The sequence below is a fragment of the Homo sapiens genome, chromosome 1, assembly GCF_000001405.40.
Source record: "Homo sapiens chromosome 1, GRCh38.p14 Primary Assembly".
Classification (NCBI taxonomy): domain Eukaryota; kingdom Metazoa; phylum Chordata; class Mammalia; order Primates; family Hominidae; genus Homo; species Homo sapiens.
The window spans coordinates 150,675,243-150,697,427 of record NC_000001.11 but is presented as its reverse complement, the minus strand read 5'-3'; the positions used below and the strand labels follow the sequence as shown (position 1 = coordinate 150,697,427).

Genomic DNA, 22,185 nt, shown 5'->3' with positions numbered 1-22,185 from the left:
TCACTCAGCGCTTTGATTGGCTGGTTTAATGGGGGTGGGGAGCGCAGCCCTCTTTCCTCTCTTCCACCAAGGTTCCTTCATTGGATTGACCAGCTGTCAGGTTGAACGCAAACCTGCCTCCTTTTGGTGGTGTTTGTCTGGATCGCAACAGAATAGCTGGGGGAGAGCCTCCCCCTGTGAGCTCCGATTGGCGGGACTCAACCTTGGTGATTTCTGATTGGCGCAATGAAGAAACACCAAGGTAGGTTGCCTAGTGATCCTGAGGAAGCTGATGTGTTATTCCTTCTCTGCATCGAAGGATCAGGAAGTTTGTGCTCTCTGCGTGGCTAAGTTTTTCACCTACTAGGACGGGGGTGGGGTGGGGAGAACAGGTGTCCTTCTAAAATACAGCACAAGCTACAGCCTGCGTCCAGCCATAACCCAGGAGTAACATCAGGTAAGCAACGAGAAAATTACATTTCCTAACGTCCCTTCCCCCCACCAAAAAAAACCTCTATTTTTTAAAATTATTATTTTATGGGAGGGAAAGGTTTGTATTCATTTGGGCCATTTGTTTTCTTTCAAGTAGGATTTTTAACTAGTAAATGTGCAGATGAAACTAATTTCTCAAAGAAACCGCCCCCTCTCCCCCTCCCCCCCTGCCCCGCGAAGGTTTAAAGTTTCTTGGATTGGTTTAGGAAATAGTCCCTATTCACAGTGCCAGATAGGCTTAGTGCGCTTAAGAATTTATTTCATGGTTCTCTTCCTCCTTCACTTTTCTTCCCACCTCCCATAACAAATTATATTTGAAATATACCCTTGTACAAAAAAACTTTTGTAGCTCACTTCATTTGTATTTCTATTTTAAATGTTCACATGCACTTCTGAGTATTCATTTTAATCAATATAAATTTATCGAGCAATAACAATGTTAAAGACAGTGCTAGTTGCTATGGAGAATATATAAACCCAAGAAGACAATATCCCTGTTCTTAAGAAGTTTACAGTTGAGAGACAGCTATACCAAGAGAAAGACTATAATAAATACTTTAAAGGAAGTGAGTATAAATAAAGCTCTGTGAAACAGCTGAGGGAGTGGCCATGAGACACATAGGTAATAGAAAAGAGGAGGTCACTTAAAGGCCTTCACAAGGCCTTTAAAGAATGGGTAGAATGTAAAGAGGAAGAGAAAAGGGTGAAGACCCCAGCAAGTACAGAGGAGCAGAAGCAGAAAGAAAGCATGAGACATTTTTGAGAAAAAGTCTGGCAACACTACTTATTAGGAGCAATGGGAAATATTGCTAGAGGAGTAGAAACGAGTCCAGTCATAGCAACTCTTAAATACCATTATTTTGATCTTGAAAAAGATACTCCTTTATATAATTGCTGATTTAAAATATTTGTTATATATTATCTTAAAAACTGATATCTAGATTTATATAAAATAAAGTATGCTAACTATAAACTTTATCACAAATGATTTAGTGCAGTTTCTTTTGACCGTAGTACATAGAATAAAAGACATGTTCTTTGACTTTTTTTTTTAAATTGAGAAAATTTGTTAATCTTTCAACACTCTCTTGCCAGTAATTTTTGTTTGCAGCTCCTTGTGTATTTGCAAGATATGGCTAGCTAGGACTAGAGCTGCTAAGTTTACTGACTGTGGAATTACTACACATGATTTTCTGAATGTTATCGTCTAGACTTGTGATCTCCAAAGTGAGTACATGAAATGAGTCATTAGGGTATGGGAAGGAAATATAGAACATGTATTTCTATTTAGTTTTTCGTATTCTTTTTTACTTTCTATTTTTTGTGTTTTTTTATAATGTAGTACCATGGAACGTTTATAGAAATTAGATACAAATTATTATATGCATTTTGGGGCTGGATGCTCACAATTTTTTGTTGTTCCATCTTACTTAACTTGGGATCCATTTTGTGAAAGAGGAGTGACAATGGTGGATATTCACTCCTTCTTTATAGATTATGCAGAAAAAATCAGCAGGTTTGGCCGGGCCTGGTGGCTCATGCCTGTAATCCTAGCACTTTGGGAGGCCCAGGCAGGCAGATCACTTGAGGTCAGGAGTTCAAGACCAGCCTGGCCAACATGGTGAAACCCCATCTCTACTAAAAATACAAAAATTAGCCAGACATGGTGGCGCACACCTGTAATCCCAACTACTCAGGAGGCTGAGGCACAAGAATCACTTGAACCTGGGAAGCGGAGGTTGCAGTGAGCCAACATCGCACCACTGCACTCCCAGCCTGGGCAACAGAGCAAGACTCCCTCTCAAGAAAAGAAGAAGAAAAAGAAAAAAAGAAGTCAACAGGCTTGAAAGATGAGCATTTCTACTGGACTTTAGAATTACTCATTTGATCTTTTGTCAGTGCCATCTGTGAAGTCCAAGCTATTGTACTTTGGAAAAGATACTGTATTACCCACCCATTTTTTTCTGGTCATTACTCCTTCCTTTCTTTCTATATTTAAATCTGTAAATATTTCCTATTTGTATGGATGTTTAGTATGCATGTATGAATATATGATTTATTTACATAAGCATACATATGGATTTTTTTTTTCACCACTCCCTCCAGAAACAGGTGAGAATGACCACTTTAACTCACCGGGCCCGTCGCACTGAAATAAGCAAGAACTCTGAAAAGAAGATGGAAAGTGAGGAAGACAGTAATTGGGAGAAAAGTCCAGACAATGAAGATTCTGGAGACTCTAAGGATATCCGCCTTACTCTTATGGAAGAAGTATTGCTTCTGGGACTAAAAGATAAAGAGGTAATGCAGTTAGGTTTGCTAGGCTATCTCAAAGACTATTAAATATTGGAATGTTTTAGGAAGTAACCTAATGGAATATATTTAATAATAAATTGGTCTTAGAATTGTGCTCTAACCATCTGGAAGATGGAGGAGTTGGGACAGTGACCGATACTTGGAGGGTAAAAATCCAGAAGTAGAATTACGTGAAGTGTATTTAATTACAAAATTACTCCAAAATTTTAGAAGATACAGGAGAGGAGGATATAGTATAAAGTTTTGTACTTGTAGTTTCCCAAGTTAGATTAAAGGCGAAATAATACCGTTTATTAAAGTAAGAACAAGGGCCCACACACTGAAGTCTTCTTCAGCTTTGAGGAGAAATAGTCTTTTACATGAAAAGACAAGGAACATGTGTGATTAGTTGCCTTACAGAAATAAACAATTGGTAGGTTTCTTATAGCAGAAATAATTTTTTATTTTCCTCTGTGCATCTTTATAAGGCAAATATCAACAGTTGGATTACGCGGTGGCTCACGCCTGTAATCCCAGCACTTTGGGGAGCCGAGGTGAGTGAATCACTTGAGGCCAGGAGTTCAAGACTAGCCTGGCCAACATGGTGAAACCCCGTCTCTACTAAAAATAAAAAATTAGCCATGTGTGGCGGCGGGTGCCTGTAATCCCAGGTACTCGGGAGGCTGAGGCAGGAGAATCACTTGAACCTGGGAGGCGGAGGTTGCAATGAGCCAAGATTGCACCACTGCACTCCAGCCTGGATGACAGAGTGAGACCCTGCCTCAAAAAAAAAAAAAAAAAAAAAAAAAAAAAATATATATATATATATATATATATATATACACACACACACACACACACACATACATAAACAATTGAGGATTATTTTAATTTTTGAAAATTTTTAAAAATAATTTTAGCTTTTCTCTTTTTTCCCTAAATGTCTCCTTATTTAATGGAACATTTATTTTATAGTACAGTTAGTCTTAAGGTCCTGAGTCTTGTGATATAACCAGAAATTTCCCTGGCTTCTCTACTAGTATACATCATCATCCTTCATTTGTAACTTTTTGCTGTGTTTTCTCATCACACTATTCCCTCATGAAGAAGTTACGAAGGTAACATTTTAAACAATCTGCTTTCTTTCCAGGAAAGCCTTAAATAACCGCCCCCCCTCGCCCACCGCCTGCAAGAAAAGAAAGAGGTATATTTATTACTGGCCTCAGTTTTGAAAACATACAAAATTAGAATGTTATTTTAGATTTTAAAAGTACTAAATTTGGCTTTGATAATTATCCTTAGCTAGAAGTGAATTGGCTGCATACAAGTAGTAACAGCTCTTCTTTTCTACATAATTCTTCGACTTGGAAATACCATTGTTGTTTAGATTTTGCCTTTCATTTATTTACTATTTTCCTTTTTACTTTTTTTCTTGTTAAATTACCAACTTGAACAAAATTTACAGACCAGTTATAGTCTGTGTATTGTTAAAACTAATATTAGAGACATGCTTATGTGTACCTGGCCAAGATGTAGGTATATCAGAAATTCTTGCCCGGAAATATATTTTCCTGTTTGCTGAGAAGTTGATGAGCCTTCAGTTTTATAAAAGGCAAATAAACGAAAAGGCAAAACCAGCTCTCCAAGAGAATGTCAGAATAGGACTGAAGATTAGGTGATATAAATACTCTTTTGAGACGTTTACACATTACCTAGGAAACAGTCACTGACTGTATAAAAAGAGGATATAGAACTAAAAGCTATTTGGTTTGTTTTAGCTTTGAATAGGAATGATTAATTTCCTGCTGACCTTATGCACTGGAATTTTTGCTTTTGGGCTTGTCTTCATGTGTTTATAATGGTTAATATAAATTTTAGGAAATAGAATAAAAAATAAAGCAGCTCATTAAGAGCTATGGCCATGGTGAGTACTTAACATATTGGTGAGATACTGTACAAAATAAGCAGATGGCTGGATGCAATGGCTAATTCCTGTAATCCTAACACTTGGGAGGCCAAGGTAAGAGGATTGCTTGGGCCCAGGAGTTCAAGACCAGCCTGGGCAACATGGTGAGACACCATCTCTACAAAAAATTTAAAACAAAAAAATTAGCTGGACATGGTGGCACATGCCTGTAGTCCTAGCTACTCAGGAGGCTGAGTCAAGAGGATGGCTTAAGCCTCGGAGGTCGAGGCTTCAGTGAACCAGGATTGTGTCACTGCACTCCAGCCTGAACAACAGAGCAAGGCCTCAAAAAATAATAAATAATAGCACATAACAATTAACCACCTTTTGAATTGCTCTAATTTTATTTTTGAGGATAGTTAACAAATATTTAGCTTTCATTTGGCTCAGGAAGAATAAAAGACAATAAATCCTTAGGTGTAAATGAATAGAAGAGGTCAAACTTTGTGATTTATTTAAATAGTAGTAGTTACAAAAGGCCAGTTACATAACTATCTCTAAAAATATTAAATTGATTCCCAACTGTACTTATTTTTTTCTTATCTCTCAAACTATCAATAGATTCATTTAATCAATATTTAATGTGATTGAGGACACCCATTATGTGCTTAGGATTATGCTAAATATTAATACTAAGGTAAATATAAAATAGTATAGTATATGGTCCCTGCCTTCAAGAAACTTGCATTCTAGCTGGAGAGACAAAAAGATACATACTTTTTAAAAGTTAAGTAACCCGAAGGTCCATCAACAGCAGAATGGATAAAAATGAATCATCAAAAAAAAAAAAGAGTCATCCATTTGTTTAAATGAGTATAAATATGTTTTCTATACAGAATGAAAATGAACATTGTTATACAACATGTATATTTCTCACATTATGTTCAATAAAAAAAGCCAAACACAAAAATATACATACTGTATGATTCCATTTATATGAAACTCAAAAAACTATTGTATTTGAGGTTGCATATTTAGGTGGTACAATTATAAACAAAATCAAGCCAGGAATTACTATAGTTTTTAGAATAGTGATTATCTTTTTGTAAGGGATAGGGGAAGGAAAAGGGTGTTAGTAATTAGGAAGGAAAATGGAGAGGATTTCTAGATAGTAACAATTTTCTGTTTCTGGACCTAGAGGAAGTTTCATAGTTTTGTTTTTGTTTTTGTTTTTGTTTTTAAGACAGAGTCTTGCTCTGTCACCCAGGTTGGAGTATAGTGGCACCATCTTGGCTCACTGCAACCTGCGCCTCCCGAGTTCAAGCAATTCTCCTGTCTCAATCTCCTGAGTAGCTGGGATTACAGGCACCCGCCACCATGCCTGGCTAATTTTTGTATTTTTAGTAGAGATGGGGTTTCACCATATTGGTCAGGCTGGTCTTGAACTCCTGACCTCTCAGGCGACCCACCCAACTTGGCCTCCCAAAGTGCTGGGATTATAGGTGTGGCCTCCCAAAGTGCTGGGATTACAGGCGTAAACTACTGCTCCCGGCCTTTTTTATTTATTTATTTATTTTTGATACGGAGTCTTGCTCTGTCCCTCCTGGCTAATTTTTGTATTCTTAGTAGGGAAGGGTTTTCAGCATGTTAGCCAGGCTAGTCTTGAACTCCTGATCTCAAGTGATCCACCTGCCTTGGCCTCCCAAAGTGCTGGGATTACAAGCGTGAGCCACTGCACCTGGGCCATAGATCTTCACTTTGGAATAATTAAGCTTTTTACTTTGTTTTGTTTATTCTTCTGTGTGTACATTATATTTCACAATGCAAAATATTTTTTTTAAAGTAAACAACAATAAAAAGCAAGTTTTTGCATGTTAGAATGAGCCAAGGGAGTTAGAGAGAGGAGAAACCATCATGAGATAGAGTAATCCGGGGAAGAATAGAAAAAGGCAGTAAAACAAGCCATGCCTTTAAAAATGGGAGGATTAACATGAATGGAGAAAAGGAAACACGTTCTGGATGAGGGAACCTGAGTGAGCAAAGGTATCATGAGCTTGATGAGTTTGGGAGATAACTGTGAGTAGGCCAGTATGACTGAAGTAGGTGGAGAACAATGGGATTCAAAATCAGTAAATTCGATTTGGACCAGATTATAGATTTTGTTACCAGGCAGAGACTTTTAGACTCTTTCCTTTAGGGAAAAGAGAATCAGCCTAATGAAAACAGCAAAGCCCATTTCATTTTTGTGTCCAAATTAAGGGCTTAATAACATTTTTATGTTCTTTGTGAGTATGTTTTAATGTGTATATAATTGCTTGTTTTTACATGGTTTGGGATTTGTGACAAGTCAAAAAAGGAAAAAATCCTAAATGTTAAATTTTGTGTCCCAAACTCCCAAACTTTTACTGGAGAGTTCCCTAAGATCCTCTGTTTAGAACCCAGTATTATCATTTTTTTAGAAACTATGTGTCTTTCAAGCAGGCACGGTGGCTCCTGTCTGTAATCCCAGCACTTTGGGAGACAGAAGGATTGCCTGAGGCCAGGAATTCTAGACCAACCTGGGCAACATAGTGAGACCTCATCTCTACAAAAAATATAAAAATTAGCCTGGCATGGTGTCACATACCTGCAGTTTCAGCTACTTGGGAGATTGAGGCGAGAGGATTGCTTGAGCCCAGGAGTTCAAGGCTGGAGTGAGCTGTGTTTGTGCCACTGTACTCCAACCTGGGTGACAGAGTGAGACCCTGTCTTAAAAGAAAAAAAAAAATTCTTCTGAGGGGTAACTACCACAGACTGGTTTTAAAATATTAAGCATCTGGCCAGACGCAGTGGCTCACATCTATAATCCCAGCACTTTGGGAGGTTTGAGGCGGGCAAATCACTTGAGGCCAGGAGTTCGAGACCAGCCTGGCCAACATGGTGAAACCCCATCTCTACTAAAGGAAAAAAAAAATTAGCTGGGTGTGGTGGCATGCACCTGTAATCCTAGCTATGCTGATGGGAGAATCTCTTGAACCCAAGAGGCAGAGGCTGCAATGAGCCAAGGTCACACTACTGCACTCTAGCCTGGGTGACAGAGTAAGACTGCCTCAAAAAATATAAACTAATTAAATTAAATATTAAGTATCATTGTCTTATGAAAACAATCAAGAAATTTAAATATAATTTGAAGAGTATAACCTTTCAAGCACAGTTAAAATTAGATACTATCTCAGTTCAATAACACTGACCTCAACTGAGAAAGTAAACATTGAGCACAAGCCTGACCAAAATAAAATAGGTTTATCTCCTGTTGAAATCAGGAATCTGCTTATTTGTTATTATTGCCTTTGGTAAGAGTTTTGATATAGATTATTAACTCATGAACAGTGTTTTAATTGACTTGCTAATGTATAAAACTTTTCATTTATTAGAATCGTTTCTTAAGTTACCTGTAAGGGGAGTAAGCCAATTACTGCTTTTGACTCCTAGTGGTCTTTTCATTTCTCATCTATTTAATTTGTGGATAATGTTTTTCAACCATCCTCTCTTTCTTGGAAAGCTTTCTCCTAGTAATGCCATTTATTGAATACTTACTACTTACTGTGAAAGAAAAGCTTTTCATCATATTTCTCATGTCACTGTGGTAAAAATTGGCAAGAAGTATTATCCATTGGAAATATGGCAATACATTTTCACTTATTTGTTTAATCACCAAAAATTTTATTGAATGACTCATATGTCATAGAAAGAGAGAACAAAAACAATTGTCCCTGCTTTTGAGGTCAATTTATGGTTTAGTGGCATAGGGATGGTTGGAGATGCTGGGAGTAGAAGCCAGAAAGTCAGCAGACCATTTCAGAACAATGTGATATGTGTATAAGTGTGTTCTGAGTAGGAAGGAAACACAGAGGAAAAGCACGTAAATCAGATGGGTGGTGGGAAGGAGCAGTAGGAGAGGGAAGAAGAGATGTTGGGAAAGACTTACAGGAGGTGATAACTCTTTTTTTTGTTGTTTGTTTGTTTGAGATAGAATCTCATTCTGTCACCCAGGCTGCAAAGCAGTGGCGTGATCTTGGCTCACTGCAACCTCCACCTCCCGGATTCAAGCGATTCTGCTTCCTCAGCCTCCCAAGTAGCTGGTATTACATGCACCTGCCACCATCCCCGGCTAATTTTTGTATTTTTGTAGAGACGGGGTTTCACCATGTTGGCCAGGCTGGTCTTGAATTCCTGACCTCAGGTGATCCAACTGCCTTGGCCTCCCAAAGTGCTGGGATTACAGGTGTGAGCCACTGCGCCCCGCCAGGAGGTAATAACTCTTAACTGGAATAAGAGTGAGTTAGTCTGTAAAGAGACAGGTTCTAGGAAAAAAGAACATCAACTGGATGTTCCTAATAATTTCAGTGATGTGCAACTGGAATAACCACAGATGTCTGAAAGCATCCCATCTCCTTTTAATGAACTCCAGTGTTTTAAAACTGAAGTATGAGAGCTGAACATCCAGTTACATGCTTTATTGTTTAAGTTTTCTAAAATTGTGAAATACAGTGTATCCAGAAAATTGTATAAAGCACATATATACAGTTTAACAAGTAGTTTGAAAGCCAACAGTCATGTAATCACCAATAGAACAATATCAGCATCCTGGAAGGCTTCTCTTATGCCTGCCCCTAATCACATGCTGCCCACTTCCCTGTAGTTTTGACATGTATGTATATCCCTAAACAATATATTTTAGTTTTGCCTGTTTTTAAACTCTATTTTATTGGGTTAATATTTTAATGTATTCTTTTGATCAATATAATGTTTGTGAGATTTGTCCATGTTGTTGCATATAGTTTAATCCAGTTCATCCTGATTAATATTTCATTACATGAATATACCACTATTCATTCTATGGGTTAATGCACATTCAAGAGTTCATTATGAACAGTGCTGCTAAAATTCTCCTGGTACTTGTCAGTTATCTTTTTTCAAACAATCTACTGTTATCCACTATACGTATGGGAATTATACGTATGAAATTCATATGTATTTTTAATTATAAAGTATGTTAATGCTACGCTTTTTCAAGCTGCTGATGATCCTCCATCAAGTATAGTTCATCTTTATTAGCAATAGGAGATTAGAAGTAAAAGCTTCTTTAAAGCTGGTAAAAAAAATTCACTAATCAAAAAGTTTTTTTTTGTTTTTTTTTTGAGACAGAGTTTCGCTCTTGTTACCTAAGCTAGAGTGTAGTGGCACGATCTTGGCTCACCGCAACCTCTGCCTCCCGCGTTCAATTCTCCTGTGTCAGCCTCCCAAGTAGCTGGGATTACAGGCATGCACCACCACGCCCGGCTAATTTTTTGTATTTTTAGTAGAAACGGGGTTTTACCACGTTAGCCAGGCTGGTGTCGAACTCCTGACCTCAGGTGATCCGCCTGCCTCGACCTCCCAAAGTGCTGGGATTACAGATGTGAGCCACCACGCCCAGCCCAAAAAGGTTTTTAAAATCAGTCACAGTCAGTCAGTGTCCAACTTGTTGATTATTGGCTATGAATGAAGAAAATTGGCCGCCTTAAAAAGTGACTCAATCCTAAAGCATTTTATTATAATTAAAATATTAATAGCAGGCCGAGCAAAGAACAAGACCTTGTCTTAAAAAAAAAAATTAAAAGTCTAATTTAAGTTACTACCTGGTCTTTCCTTTTAGTTTCCTAATCGCGCAAAATGAACAATAAGTCTCCCAGTAGCTACTGCGATTGTGAATAGGGCAACTGTATCAGAAGGGCTTGTTTGTCAGGTTTTTTTCTTTAAACATAAGCTGTTAAAAAAATTAACTTTTGTTTTTTATTATATCCAGGCATATTAACCCCAAATAACTATTTACTATTGGTATAAAAGGAAATAAACTGGAAGACCAAAGACCTGTTTTAATAGTAGGAAAATATAGCTTAAGCTATTTCATTAAGATCTTCTCCCTAATTCTTCCAATCCCCAAATGCACACAGTACTCTCCCAAAATATAAAATATCTAGTATTGATATTGAGACAAAGCTGCCCACTTGAATTTGGGATTTTGGCTGTAACCACTGTGCCTATAAACTTGCTGTCAGCCATTTCATCACTTTTGCCTCCATATTTTGTTTGTATAATTTATTTTCAAAACATTTTGCAGTTTCTATTGTTTAATCCTGCAAGGCAGGTATCATTCTCTTTATAGGAGTCAAAGTTAAATGATCATTTGGGCAATAAATTGTGGAATTTACATTCAAACTGACTCTGCAACTGGGCGTGGTGTTTCACTGCCTGTATTCCCAGCAGTTTGGGAGGCCAAAATGGGAGGATTACTTCAGGCCAGGAGTTCAAGACAAGCCAGGGCAACAAAATGAGACCCAATCTCTACAAAAAAATGAAAACAGCCCTGCGTGAACCTATAGTCCCAGCTACTCAGGAGGTTGAGGTGAGAGGATCACTTGAGCCCAGGAGTTCGAAGCTGCATTGAGCTATGATCACACCACTGTGCTCCAGCCTGGGCCACAGAGCACGACTCTGTCTCAAAACAGGAAAAACAAAACAAAAACAAATATCTGACTTTGCAGTTTAAAAAGGACATGCTGGCTGGGTGCGGTAGCTCACGCCTGTAATCCTAGCACTTTGGGAGGCCAAGGCAGGCAGATCATGAGGTTAGGAATTCAAGACCAGCCTGGCCAATATGGTAAAACCCCATCTTTACTAAAAATACAAAAATTAGCCGGGTGTGGTGGCACGCACCTGTAATCTCAGCTACTCGGGAGGCTGAGGCAGGAGAATTGCTTGAACCAGGGAGGCAGAAGTTGCAGTGAGCCAAGGTTGCGCCACTGCACTCTAGCCTGGGCAACAGAGCAAGACTCTGTCTCAAAAAAAAAAAAAAAAAAGACATACTTACAAAGCAAGTTTCACATGTTTCTCTGTATTTCTTCCTGAAATAAAGAGAATTGTTCAGGATCGTTAACTGTTTAGTGTGACCCAAATAATTTCACCTCCTTGAATAGATTCTTATGGATTTTATTTTTTATATTTTTATTTTTATTTTTTGAGATGGACTCTCATTCTGTTGCCCAGGCTAGAGTGCAGCGGTGCGATCTCAACCCACTGCAACCTCCACCTCGTGGGTTCAAGCAATTCTCTTGCCTCAGCCTCCTGAGTAGCTGGGACTATAAGGTGCATGCCACCACGCCTGGCTAATTTTTTATTTTTAGTAGAGACAGGGTTTCACCATATTGGCCAGGCTAGTCTCAAACTCCTGACCTCAAGTGATCCACCTGCTTCAGCCTCCCAAAGTGCTGGGATTACAGGCATAAGCCACTGCATCTGGCCAGATTCATATGGATTTTAATTTATGCCTCCTATTAAGATAAAAGATTATTATGTTTCACAATAATATTTGGCATATGAGTTATTTTTCAGGTCTTATCCATATCTTTCTTGTTCAAATGTTTAATACCCCAGCAAAGCTCACTCCTGGAAAAAGATTTTGGGATCCTATAAAAAACATTAACTAGGCATCAATAATGTCAGAAAAAGGGAAAATACTACTGTAAGGAATTCTGAATGATTTTATTAGTTTTATTTTTACTTCAAATTTTCCATTCCATTGCCTCAAATATTAAGGAGGAAATAGGAAAATTCTATACATTATTTTTCTCTTCTCCTTTTTGAAACAAGATATTCTAGTCATAAAGGGCAACAAGTCCAAGTAAGAAGTTTGAATAACCCAACTGGCAAAAGGAAGATATGTTTAACGAATAAGTAAATAATATTTAATTATAATTATCATATTATCGCTGGGCATGGTGGCTCACACCTGTAATCCCAGCACTTTGGGAGGCCGAGGCGGGTGGATCACCTGAGGTCAGGAATTTGAGACCAGCCTGGCCAACATGGTGAAACCCCATCTCTACTAATAATACAAAAATTAGCTGGGCGTGGTAGTGCATGCCCGTAATCCCAGCTACTTGGGAGGCTGAGGCAGGAGAATTGCTTAAACCCAGGAGGCGGAGTTTGCAGTGAGCTGAGATCGCACCATTGCACTACAGTCTGGGCAGCAAGAGTGAAACTCTCTCCAAAAAAAAAATTAAAATAATCACATCAGAAGGTCTAGTGTACAAATAGTCATTATTTTTCTTGTCAGTTCACTCTTCAGCTATAGATTAGAACCCATGTCACACATGTTCCTTATGGAAGGAGGGAGACACTATTATACTAAAAAGAGATAAATATGAGTAAGCAAATAGTTATTTTTTCTTGCATCTTAAAGCTTAAAACCAAGGCTGGGCATCATGTCTCACACCTTTAATCTCAGCACTTTGGGAGGCTGAGGCAGGAGGATTGCTTGAGCCCAGGAGTTTGAAACGAGCCTAGGCAACATAGTGAGACCCTGTCTCTAAAAATAAATAAAACATTAAAAAAGCTTAAGACTAAATGACTAGACAAGCCTCTTCTAGATTTTTCTGTGAGAGTAGGATTATATTAGTTTGCTAAAGATGCCCTGCTAAAATACCACAGACTTGGTGGCTTAAATGACAGAAATTAATTTTCTCACAGTTCTAGGGATTAGAAGTCCAAGATCAAGATTGATGGGTTTGGTTTCTTCTGAGACTTCTCACCTTGCCCTGCAGACTTCCTGCTGTGTCCTCTATGCAAATGCCTTCCTGGCGTCTCTAGGTGTCCAAATTTCCTCCTCTCAAAAGAACACCAGTCAGATTGGTTTAGGGCCCACTATAACACCCTCATTTTAACTTAATCACCTCTTCTAAAAGCCCTATCTTCAAAGACAGATGTATTCTGAGGTAATGGGGGTTATAACTTCAACATATGAAATTTGAGGGGACACAATTCAGCTCATAACAATGATTTAGAAAGGTTTTAGAAAAAATAGGTTATGAAGATAATTGCATATTTATTTATGTACATCCGCCTGAAGGACAGCTCACTCTCAGGAAGTATCATTAAATTGTCTAATGATGTGATTTTTTTTCTCCAGCTCAAGTGAGCCAACATTTATTGAGTATCTCTCTTTTTTTTTTTTTTTTTTTTTTTTTTTTTTTTTTGAGAGAGAGTCTCGCTCTGTCACCCAAGCTGGAGTGCAGCAGCGTGATCTTGGCTCGCTGCTTCCGCCTCCTGGGTTCAAGTACTTCTGGTACCTCAGCCTCCCGAGTAGCTGGGATTACAGGCTCCCACCACCAAGCCCAGCTAATTTTTTTTTTTTTTTTTTTTTTGAGACAGAGTCTCTGTCGCCCAGGCTGGAGTGCAGTGGCGCGATCTCGGCTCACTGCAAGCTCCGCCTCCCGGGTTCACGCCATTCTCCTGCCTCAGCCTCCCGGGTAGCTGCGACTACAGGCGCCCACCACCACGCCCAGCTAATTTTTTGTATTTTTAGTAGAGACGGGGTTTCACCATGTTGGCCAGGATGGTCTCGATCTCCTGACCTCGTGATCCGCCCGCCTCGGCCTTCCAAAGTGCTGGGATTACAGGCGTGAGCCACCGCTCCAGGCCAATTTTTGTATTTTTAATAGCGATGGGGTTTCGCCATGTTGCCTGGGCAGGTCATGAACTCCTGACCTCATGTGATCTGCCTGCCTCGGCCTCCCAAAGTGCTGGGACTATAGGCATGAGCCACTGCACCCGGCCTTGAGTACCTCCTTGATGCAAGGCACTGAGAAAAGTAAGGAAAATATAAAAGTAAGTAAGATGCGCTTATCTTCCTACAGAAGCATAGGGATTTGATAGAGGAGAAAAGATATTTATGCAGTAACCATACAGCTAGACACAGTATGTAAGTACTAGGAGAAAGGTACCAAAAAAATGCTATAGGAACATGGAAAAGGAAGAAAGTCCGTGCCAGTTATTCTTTATTTTCTCTGTTTGACCTTACCTATTCACAGTTGTCCAAGAAGTTTAAGGTAGGAATGGCAAATAGAAAAAAATACTGAATCAAAGGGTTTGAGGTTACTGTATTCTCTTTTTTATTTGTTTTCTTTTTTAGTTAGTTTTTAAAATTTGTCTAAGATATAAAAGTAATTTTATTACTTTTTGATACTTTAAAAGTGAAATACATTTACCCTAAGAAATTCAGACAGAGATCTACATGAGAACACTTTTTTTTTTTTTTTTTTTTTTTTTTTTTGAGAAAGAGTCTGTCACCAAGACTGGAGTGCAGTGGCACTATCAGGGCTCACTGAAGCCTCACCTTCCCCAGGAGCAGGTGATCCCCCTGCCTCAGCTTCCCAAGTAGCTGGAACTACAGGTGCAGGCCACCACGCCCAGCTAATTCTTTGTAATTTTTATAGAGCTGGGATTTTGCCATGTTGCCCAGGCTGGTCTCAAACTCCTAGACTCAAGTGATCTACCTGCCTCAGCCTCCCAAAGTGCTGGGATTACAGGTGTGAGCCACCGCTCCTGGCCCTCCATGAGAACACTTACTGGGATGATAGAAGTGTTGCAGATCTTGCTTGGGGTGTGAGATAACATGGATATATGCTTTTGTCAAAACTCACTGAACTTAACATCTATGCATTTCACTCTATGTAAATTATACCTTTTTTTAAAGGTGTAAAGAAGAAAATAAAAACCACCTATAATCTTGCTTCCCAAAGATAACTACTGTTAAAATTGTAATATATATCCTTATAGACTGTTTTCAGTGCATATATATGTATACACAGATGCATCATTTTTTTTTTTCTTTGAGACATTGTCTCCTCTGTCACTCAGGCTGGAGTGCCGTGGTACCTGCAGCTCACTGAAAGCTCCACCTCCCAAGTTCAAGCAATTCTCATGCCTCAGTTACCAGAGTAGATGGGATTACAGGCGCCTGCCACATACCCAGCTAATTTTTGTATTTTTAGTAGAGACAGGGCTTTGCCACGTTGGCCAGGCTGGTCTTGAATTCATGGCCTCAGGTGATCCACCTGCCTCAGCCTCCCAAAGTGCTAGGATTACAGGTGTGAGCCACCATGCCCAGCCACAGATGCATAATTACCAAAAAATTGATTATAATCAGACATATCATTTTGTAGCCTTCTTTTTCCAAGTATTATAATGTGGACATATTTTATGCCAATAAATATAAACATACCCCATTATTTTTAATGGTTTCATAGGATTCCATTGAATAAATGTATATTATTATTAACTTTAAGGTTAGTCTGCAACCTCCCTGAGAGCAGGACTGTGTTTTCCTGGCTTTCTAAGCCCCACTTCATCTGACTAACCTTATTTCTCGCTGCTTAGTCTACTTACCACTCCAGTCCCATTTGTCTATTTTATATATTCCTGCCATGTTTCCTTCCCATATTTTGTTTTAAAGCCCATCACAAATCCAGCACTGAACTTTACATTCTCTGAATTCTCTTGCATTTATCATACCTCTCAGTGTGCTTAGTAACCATCTTTTATTTTCTAATTTTTTTATCAGCAGTGGATAAAAGCGCAGGCTTTGGAATCAGACACATCTACATTCAAATCCCGGTTCTACCACTTATCAGCTATATGACTTGGGCTCCATTTTCACATTTTTTCCCTTCATTCTTATTTAATAGAGATAATATTGACTTAATAGTGCTATTGTAGGATTAGATTAACTAATTATATTTTTAAAAACTTATTTTTTTGAGGCGGAGTTTTGCTCTTGTCACCCAGACTGGAGTGCAGTGGTGCGATCTCAGCTCACTACATTCACCTTCCAGGTTCAAGTGGTTCTCCTGCCTCAGCCTCCCGAGTAGCTGGGATTCTAGGTGTCCACCACCATGCCTGGCTAGTTTTTGTATTTTCAGTAGAGACAGGGTTTCACCATGTTGCCCAGTCTGGTCTTGAACTCCTGACCTCAGGTGCCTCGGCTTCCCAAAGTGCTGGGATTACAGGCATGAGCCACTGCGCCCAGCCTGATTATATAAAAATTTTAACTCAGAGCATGACACATGTAAATGCTCAATAAATAATAACCATTATTATTATGTTTTTGTTGTTGTTTAAACCATTAGTCTTGGCTCTTAATTAAATGGTCATTTTCTTATGGCCAGAGAGACCTTAGTTGAATGCTGGGCATAAATAGCCACTTACATGCTTTAAAGTAAATATCTGTAGGATAGCCTTAAACTTTCAAAGCAGTAGTTTCTTATTTTTTGACTTGAAAATGATCAGTTGAATCAGCTCTTACAAACTGAGCAACCAATGGCCTGACCTTAGTTATTGGAACAAGAGGGCACTGAAAAATGTTTCCTAGAAGAGAGCCTAACCTAGTATTCTTAGTAATCTTTGACTTTTGTTTCAGCGGCCTCACACATAGGATGAAAAAAAAGTAAATACGATTGTTCACTATTTTCTTACTTGGATAATGTATAATCCTTTAAAAAAAACTCTTAATTTACTTGGGGATATAATCTGGGGGATAGGAAACCCACTTGATATCTGAATTAGTTATGTGTGGCTTCTAGGGATTTTAGATGAATTATTGAGGTGTAGAGGAAGGATAACAGTTTATTTTGTTTTCATATACCTCTCTCTGGGTACTGGTGATAGTTCCAGAGTTGGAAATACATGAAAGAATTCTTGCAGTCTTAGATCTGCACTCTTTGCCATTGATACCTCCTTTCCATTCCCATTTTTGCTTCTTTATCTTATTACCTCCAATCTAAACTGTTGCAGAAGCGTCCTGTTGAAACTCCCTACTTCTCTGGATTTTGTTCCCTCTGCTAAATAAGGAATCATTTCTGTGGAGTCTAGCTCTTAAATTCATCTGAATTAGGAGTCGATAAAAATTTAGCAATAATCATTTTATTCTTTTTTTTATTATTATTCTTTTTTTAAAATAGAGACAGGGTTTCACTGTGTTAGCCAGGCGGGTCTCGAACTCCCAGCCTCAAGTGATCTGCCTGCTTCAGTCTCCCAAAGTGTGGAGATTACAGACATGAGCCACCACACTTGGCCTTTTTATTATTATTATTATTTTTGGTAACAGTCTCCACTCTGTCGTCCAGGCTGGGGTGCAGTGGCACGAACATGCCTCACTGCAGGCTCCACCTCTTGGGCTCAAGGGATATTCTCACTTTGGCCTCCGAAATAGCTGGGACTACAGGCGTATGCCGCCATGCCTGGCTAATTTTTTTTATTTTCTTGTAGAGACAGGGAGTTTCACTTTGTTGCCCAGGCTGGTCTCTAACTCCTGACCTCAAGCAGTCCTGCTTCGGTCTCCCAAAGTGCTAGGATTGCAGGTGCGAGCCATTGCGCCCAGCCCTTTTTATTATTTCTAACCAGCTTTAAATTTTGGCTAATTAACTTTTGAGATAAGATTTGTGACTGCATGCAATTAAGTTTTGGGGTCTTTCATTTTGGTAATAGGTGAGGAACTTAAATGTCTGCCAGAAGACTAAATTCTAGATTTCATTTTCAACTTTAATCTAGAATTTTTGCCTAGTAGAATAGTGAGAAAACTGTGCTGTGATTTCTGAGCTTCTGTACTTCGCTATTTGGGGTAGTGCTTTGGGTTGGTCAAGTAGAATACTGCAGACATAATACCACTGCCCATTCTATGTATGCATCTAATTGTACTATTTATGCTTATGTGACAAATCTTTCTCAGCACTATCACCCTTTTAACATTTTCACTCATAAGAAAGATTTAAGGGAATAATACCAGTCTTAAAATTGTGAAGGTTCACACAAACTTGTTTTTCCTGTTTGTTTTAGGAAAAAATGCTCTTGATAAAGAATTTAAGCAATAGAGGGAAGTATAATTAACAACATTAAAAAAAGAAGAAATCTTACTTCCCAGAAATACTGTAAATATTCTTAAACTTTTTGTTTTTTTGAGACGGAGCCTTGCTCCCTCGCCAGGCTGGATCTTGGCTCTCGGCTCACTGCAACCTCTGCCTCCCAGGTTCAAGCAGTTCTGCCTCAGCCTCCCGAGTAGCTGGGACTACAGGCGTGTGCCACCACACCAGCTAATTTTTGTGTTTTTACTAGAGATGGGGTTTCACCATGTTGGCCAGGATGGTCTTGATCTCTTGACCTTATGATCTGCTTGCCTCGGTGGCATGAGCCACCGCACCCCGCCAAACATCATTTTTTAGTTTAAAACATTCCTTTTTTTCAAAATTACAAATAATTCAGGCATACAAAAATGTGTAAAAAACAATATAATAAACTCTCATGTAACCAGCATCAGCTCTCTCTGCATACATTCAGATAAAGTAGAGCAGATCTGGTGAATTATAGTTATAGAATAGAATATACATATTATGAGTCTACACAGAATAAAAGTTATAATTTTAAAATTGGGAAGTAAGGTAATAAAATATGGGAAGGATATTAACTTGTATCTTTCATAATAAGGAGTCACTTAGACGTTATCTAAAATTGAAACATCTAGTTTTTAAAAATGACCCCAACCTCTTAATAATCTCTTTTTTAAATCTTAGAAAGGAATTTATAGGACATTTGTCCTTTTTTTTTTTTTTTTTTTTTTTGAGACGGAGTTTCGATCTTGTTGCCCAAGGCGATCTCGGCTCACTGAAACCTCCGCCTCCCGGGTTCAAGTGATTCTCCTGCCTCAGCCTCCCGAGTAGCTGGGATTACAGGTATGTGCCACCACGCCCAGCTAATTTTGTATTTTTAGTAGAGACGGGGTTTCTCCATGTTGGTAAGGCTGGTCTCGAACTCCTGACTTCAGGTGATCCGCCCACATCAGCCTCCCAAAGTGCTGGGATTACAGGCATGAGCCACCGTGCCCAGCCACATTTCTCTTTAAAAAAATTTTTTTTTCCTTTTTACTTGATAACCCATAGCCAACATCATGACATATCTCTTATAAGAAACAACTGTTTGAGGCCAGGTGTGGTGGCTCATGCCTGTAATCCTAGCACTTTGGGAGGCCAAGGTGGGAGGATCACTTGAGTCTATGAGTTTGAGACCAGCTTGGGCAACATAGCAAGACCCTCATCTCTAAAAGAATTAAAAGATTAAATGGGCATGGTGGCATGTGCCCGTAGTTCCATCCACTTAGGAGGCTGAGGTGGTAGGATTGCTTGAGCTCGAGAAGTAGAGGGTGCAGTGAGCTACGATTATGCACTCCAGCGTGGGTGACAGAGTGAGACCCTGTCTCAAATTAAAAAAAAAAAAAAAAGAAATGTTTGAAGTTTAGTAATTGTTTCACTTCATTTTTTTTCTGTTAAGTAAAATTATATTTCATTTTACTTTTAAAATTACACATGTAGGCTGGGCATGGTGGCTCACGCCTGTAATCCCAGCATTTTTTGGAGGCTGAGGCAGGTGGATCACCTGAGGTCAGGAGTTCAAGACCAGCCTGGCCAACATGATGAAACCCCATCTCTACTAAAAATACAAAAACTTAGCCAGGCACGGTGACATACGCCTGTAATCCCAGCTACTCAGGAGGTTGAGGCAAGAGAATCACTTGGACCCAGGAGGCAGAAGTTGCCGTAAGCCAAGATCACACCACTGCACTCCAGCCTGGGCAATGGAGCGAGACTCTGTCTCAAAAATAAATAAATAAATAGGCCAGGCACGGTGGCTCATGCCTGTAATCCCAGCTACTCAGGAGGCTGAAGCAGGAGAATTGCTTGAACCCGGGAGGCAGAGGTTGCAGTGAGCCAAGATCGCGCCACTGCACTCCAGCTTGGGTGACAGAGTGAGACTCCATCTCAAAAATAAATAAATAAATAATAAAATAAAATTACGCATGTAGCCTGGCACGGTGGCTCACACCTGTAATCCCAGCACTTTGGGAGTCTGAGGCCCCAAATGAAATGAAATTATATTTCATTTTACTTTTAAAATTACACATGTAGGCTGGGCACGGTGGCTCACGCCTGTAATCCCAGCATTTTTTGGAAGCTGAGGCAGGTGGATCACCTGAGGTCAGGAGTTCAAGACCACCCTGGCCAACATGGTGAAACCCAGTCTCTACTAAAAATACAAAAATTAGCCAGGCTTGGTGGCGGGTGGCTGTAATCCCAACCACTCGGGAGTCTGAGGCAGGAGAATTGCTTGAACCCGGGAGGCGGAGGTTGCAGTGAGCCAAGATCGAGCCATTGCACTCCAGCCTGCTAGCCTGGGTGACAGAGTGAAACTCCATCTCAAAAAAAAAAAAAAAAAAATAGAATGTATGAAATACAGAAGACTAAGTATGGACTTTGGCTCCAGATTCAAACAAAGCAACTGTAAAAAAAAATTTACTAAACAATTGATGGAATATGAAGGCTTACTGGAGTTCTTATTGGGTTGTTTTAGGTATGATATTGGTATTACAGTTCTTTTTTTAAAAAATCCTAATCTCTTGGGGAGAATATGCAGTATTTTTTGGATGAAATTATATAGTAGCTGGAATTTGTACAGAAATAATCTGGGTTTGGGTGGGGTGGGTGGTAAAGATGAAAGATTATATTGATAACTGTTGAAACTAGGTGATGGCTACATAGAGCTACATAATCTCTCTACTTTGTGTATGTTTGAAACTGTTGGCTGGGCATGGTGGCTCAGCCTGTAATCCCAGCACTTTGAGAGGCCAAGGCAGGAGCATCACCTGAGCTCAGGAGTTGGAGACTAGCTTGGGCAACATCGGAAAACCTTGTCTCTGCAAAAAATACAAAAATTAGCCAGGCATGGTGGCATGCGCTGGTAGTTCCAGCTACTTAGGAGGCTGAGGCCAGACGATTGTTTGAGTCTAGGAGGTTGGGGCTACAGTGAGCCATGTTCACACCACTGCACCTCTACTGCAGCCTGGTTGAGTGACAAAGGGAGACACAAAAAAAAAAAGGAAGGGAGGGAGGGAGGGAGGAGTTCAATCAAAAATGTTAAAAAAAAATTGGGGTTGTGTTTTCTTACCACATTACTCAGTTTTAGACAATATCCTACTGACTCCCTGTAGTGAAAGATGATGAAATCAGTACTCTTCGCAGTTTCTTCTATCTCTACTCCTCAATACTTTTTTTTTTTTTTTTTTTTTTTTTTTTGAGACAGAGTCTCTCTTACTCTGTCGCCCAGGCTGGGGTGTAGTGGCGCGAGCTTGGCTCACTGCAACCTCCACCTCCCAGATTCAAGTAGTTCTCCTGCCTCAGCCTCCCAAGTAGCTGGGACTACAGGCACATGCCACCACACCTATCTAATTTTTTGTATTTTTAGTAGAGACGGGGTTTCAACATGCTGCCCAGGCTGGTAATATTTTGTTGAGGTTTATAACATATATATCATACTGTTGTTCCATAATTCACACAAACCTTTGCTATGAAGGGACGCCCCAGAATTGGGGTTGGGAGAGAAGGAGATGGGAAAATAGGTTGATGGGTAGAAGATACATGTATTTTATGTATACAGAAAAGTTTGGTTGTACATACACCCATATGATCATAGGGTAATGGAATTTATGGGTGATTTTTATTTTTTATGAATTTTTTTGTTTTCAAATTTTCTACAATGTGTATATGCTAGTAATCAAGGAGAGAAAAGCTATTTGACCACAAAAAAAAAAAATCTACACTTACCTAGTTTTG

General features: G+C 39.3%; 1 protein-coding gene across 4 annotated transcripts in view; it reads left to right on the top strand.

The window, feature by feature from the left end:
- The first annotated feature begins 273 nt into the window (after nt 1-273).
- The window catches only part of GOLPH3L (golgi phosphoprotein 3 like), a 50,925-nt gene continuing 29,013 nt past the window's right edge, over nt 274-22,185 (top strand). For 3 of the 4 annotated variants that reach the window (XM_047424285.1, XM_006711428.3, XM_047424286.1), the window contains exons 1-2: nt 274-1,698; nt 2,578-2,772. In XM_047424285.1, the coding sequence (XP_047280241.1) occupies nt 1,669-1,698; nt 2,578-2,772 (225 nt within the window). In that variant the 5' untranslated portion in view covers nt 274-1,668. The remainder of the gene's footprint in view (nt 1,699-2,577; nt 2,773-22,185) is intronic. The other variant, NM_018178.6, reaches the window with a different exon arrangement.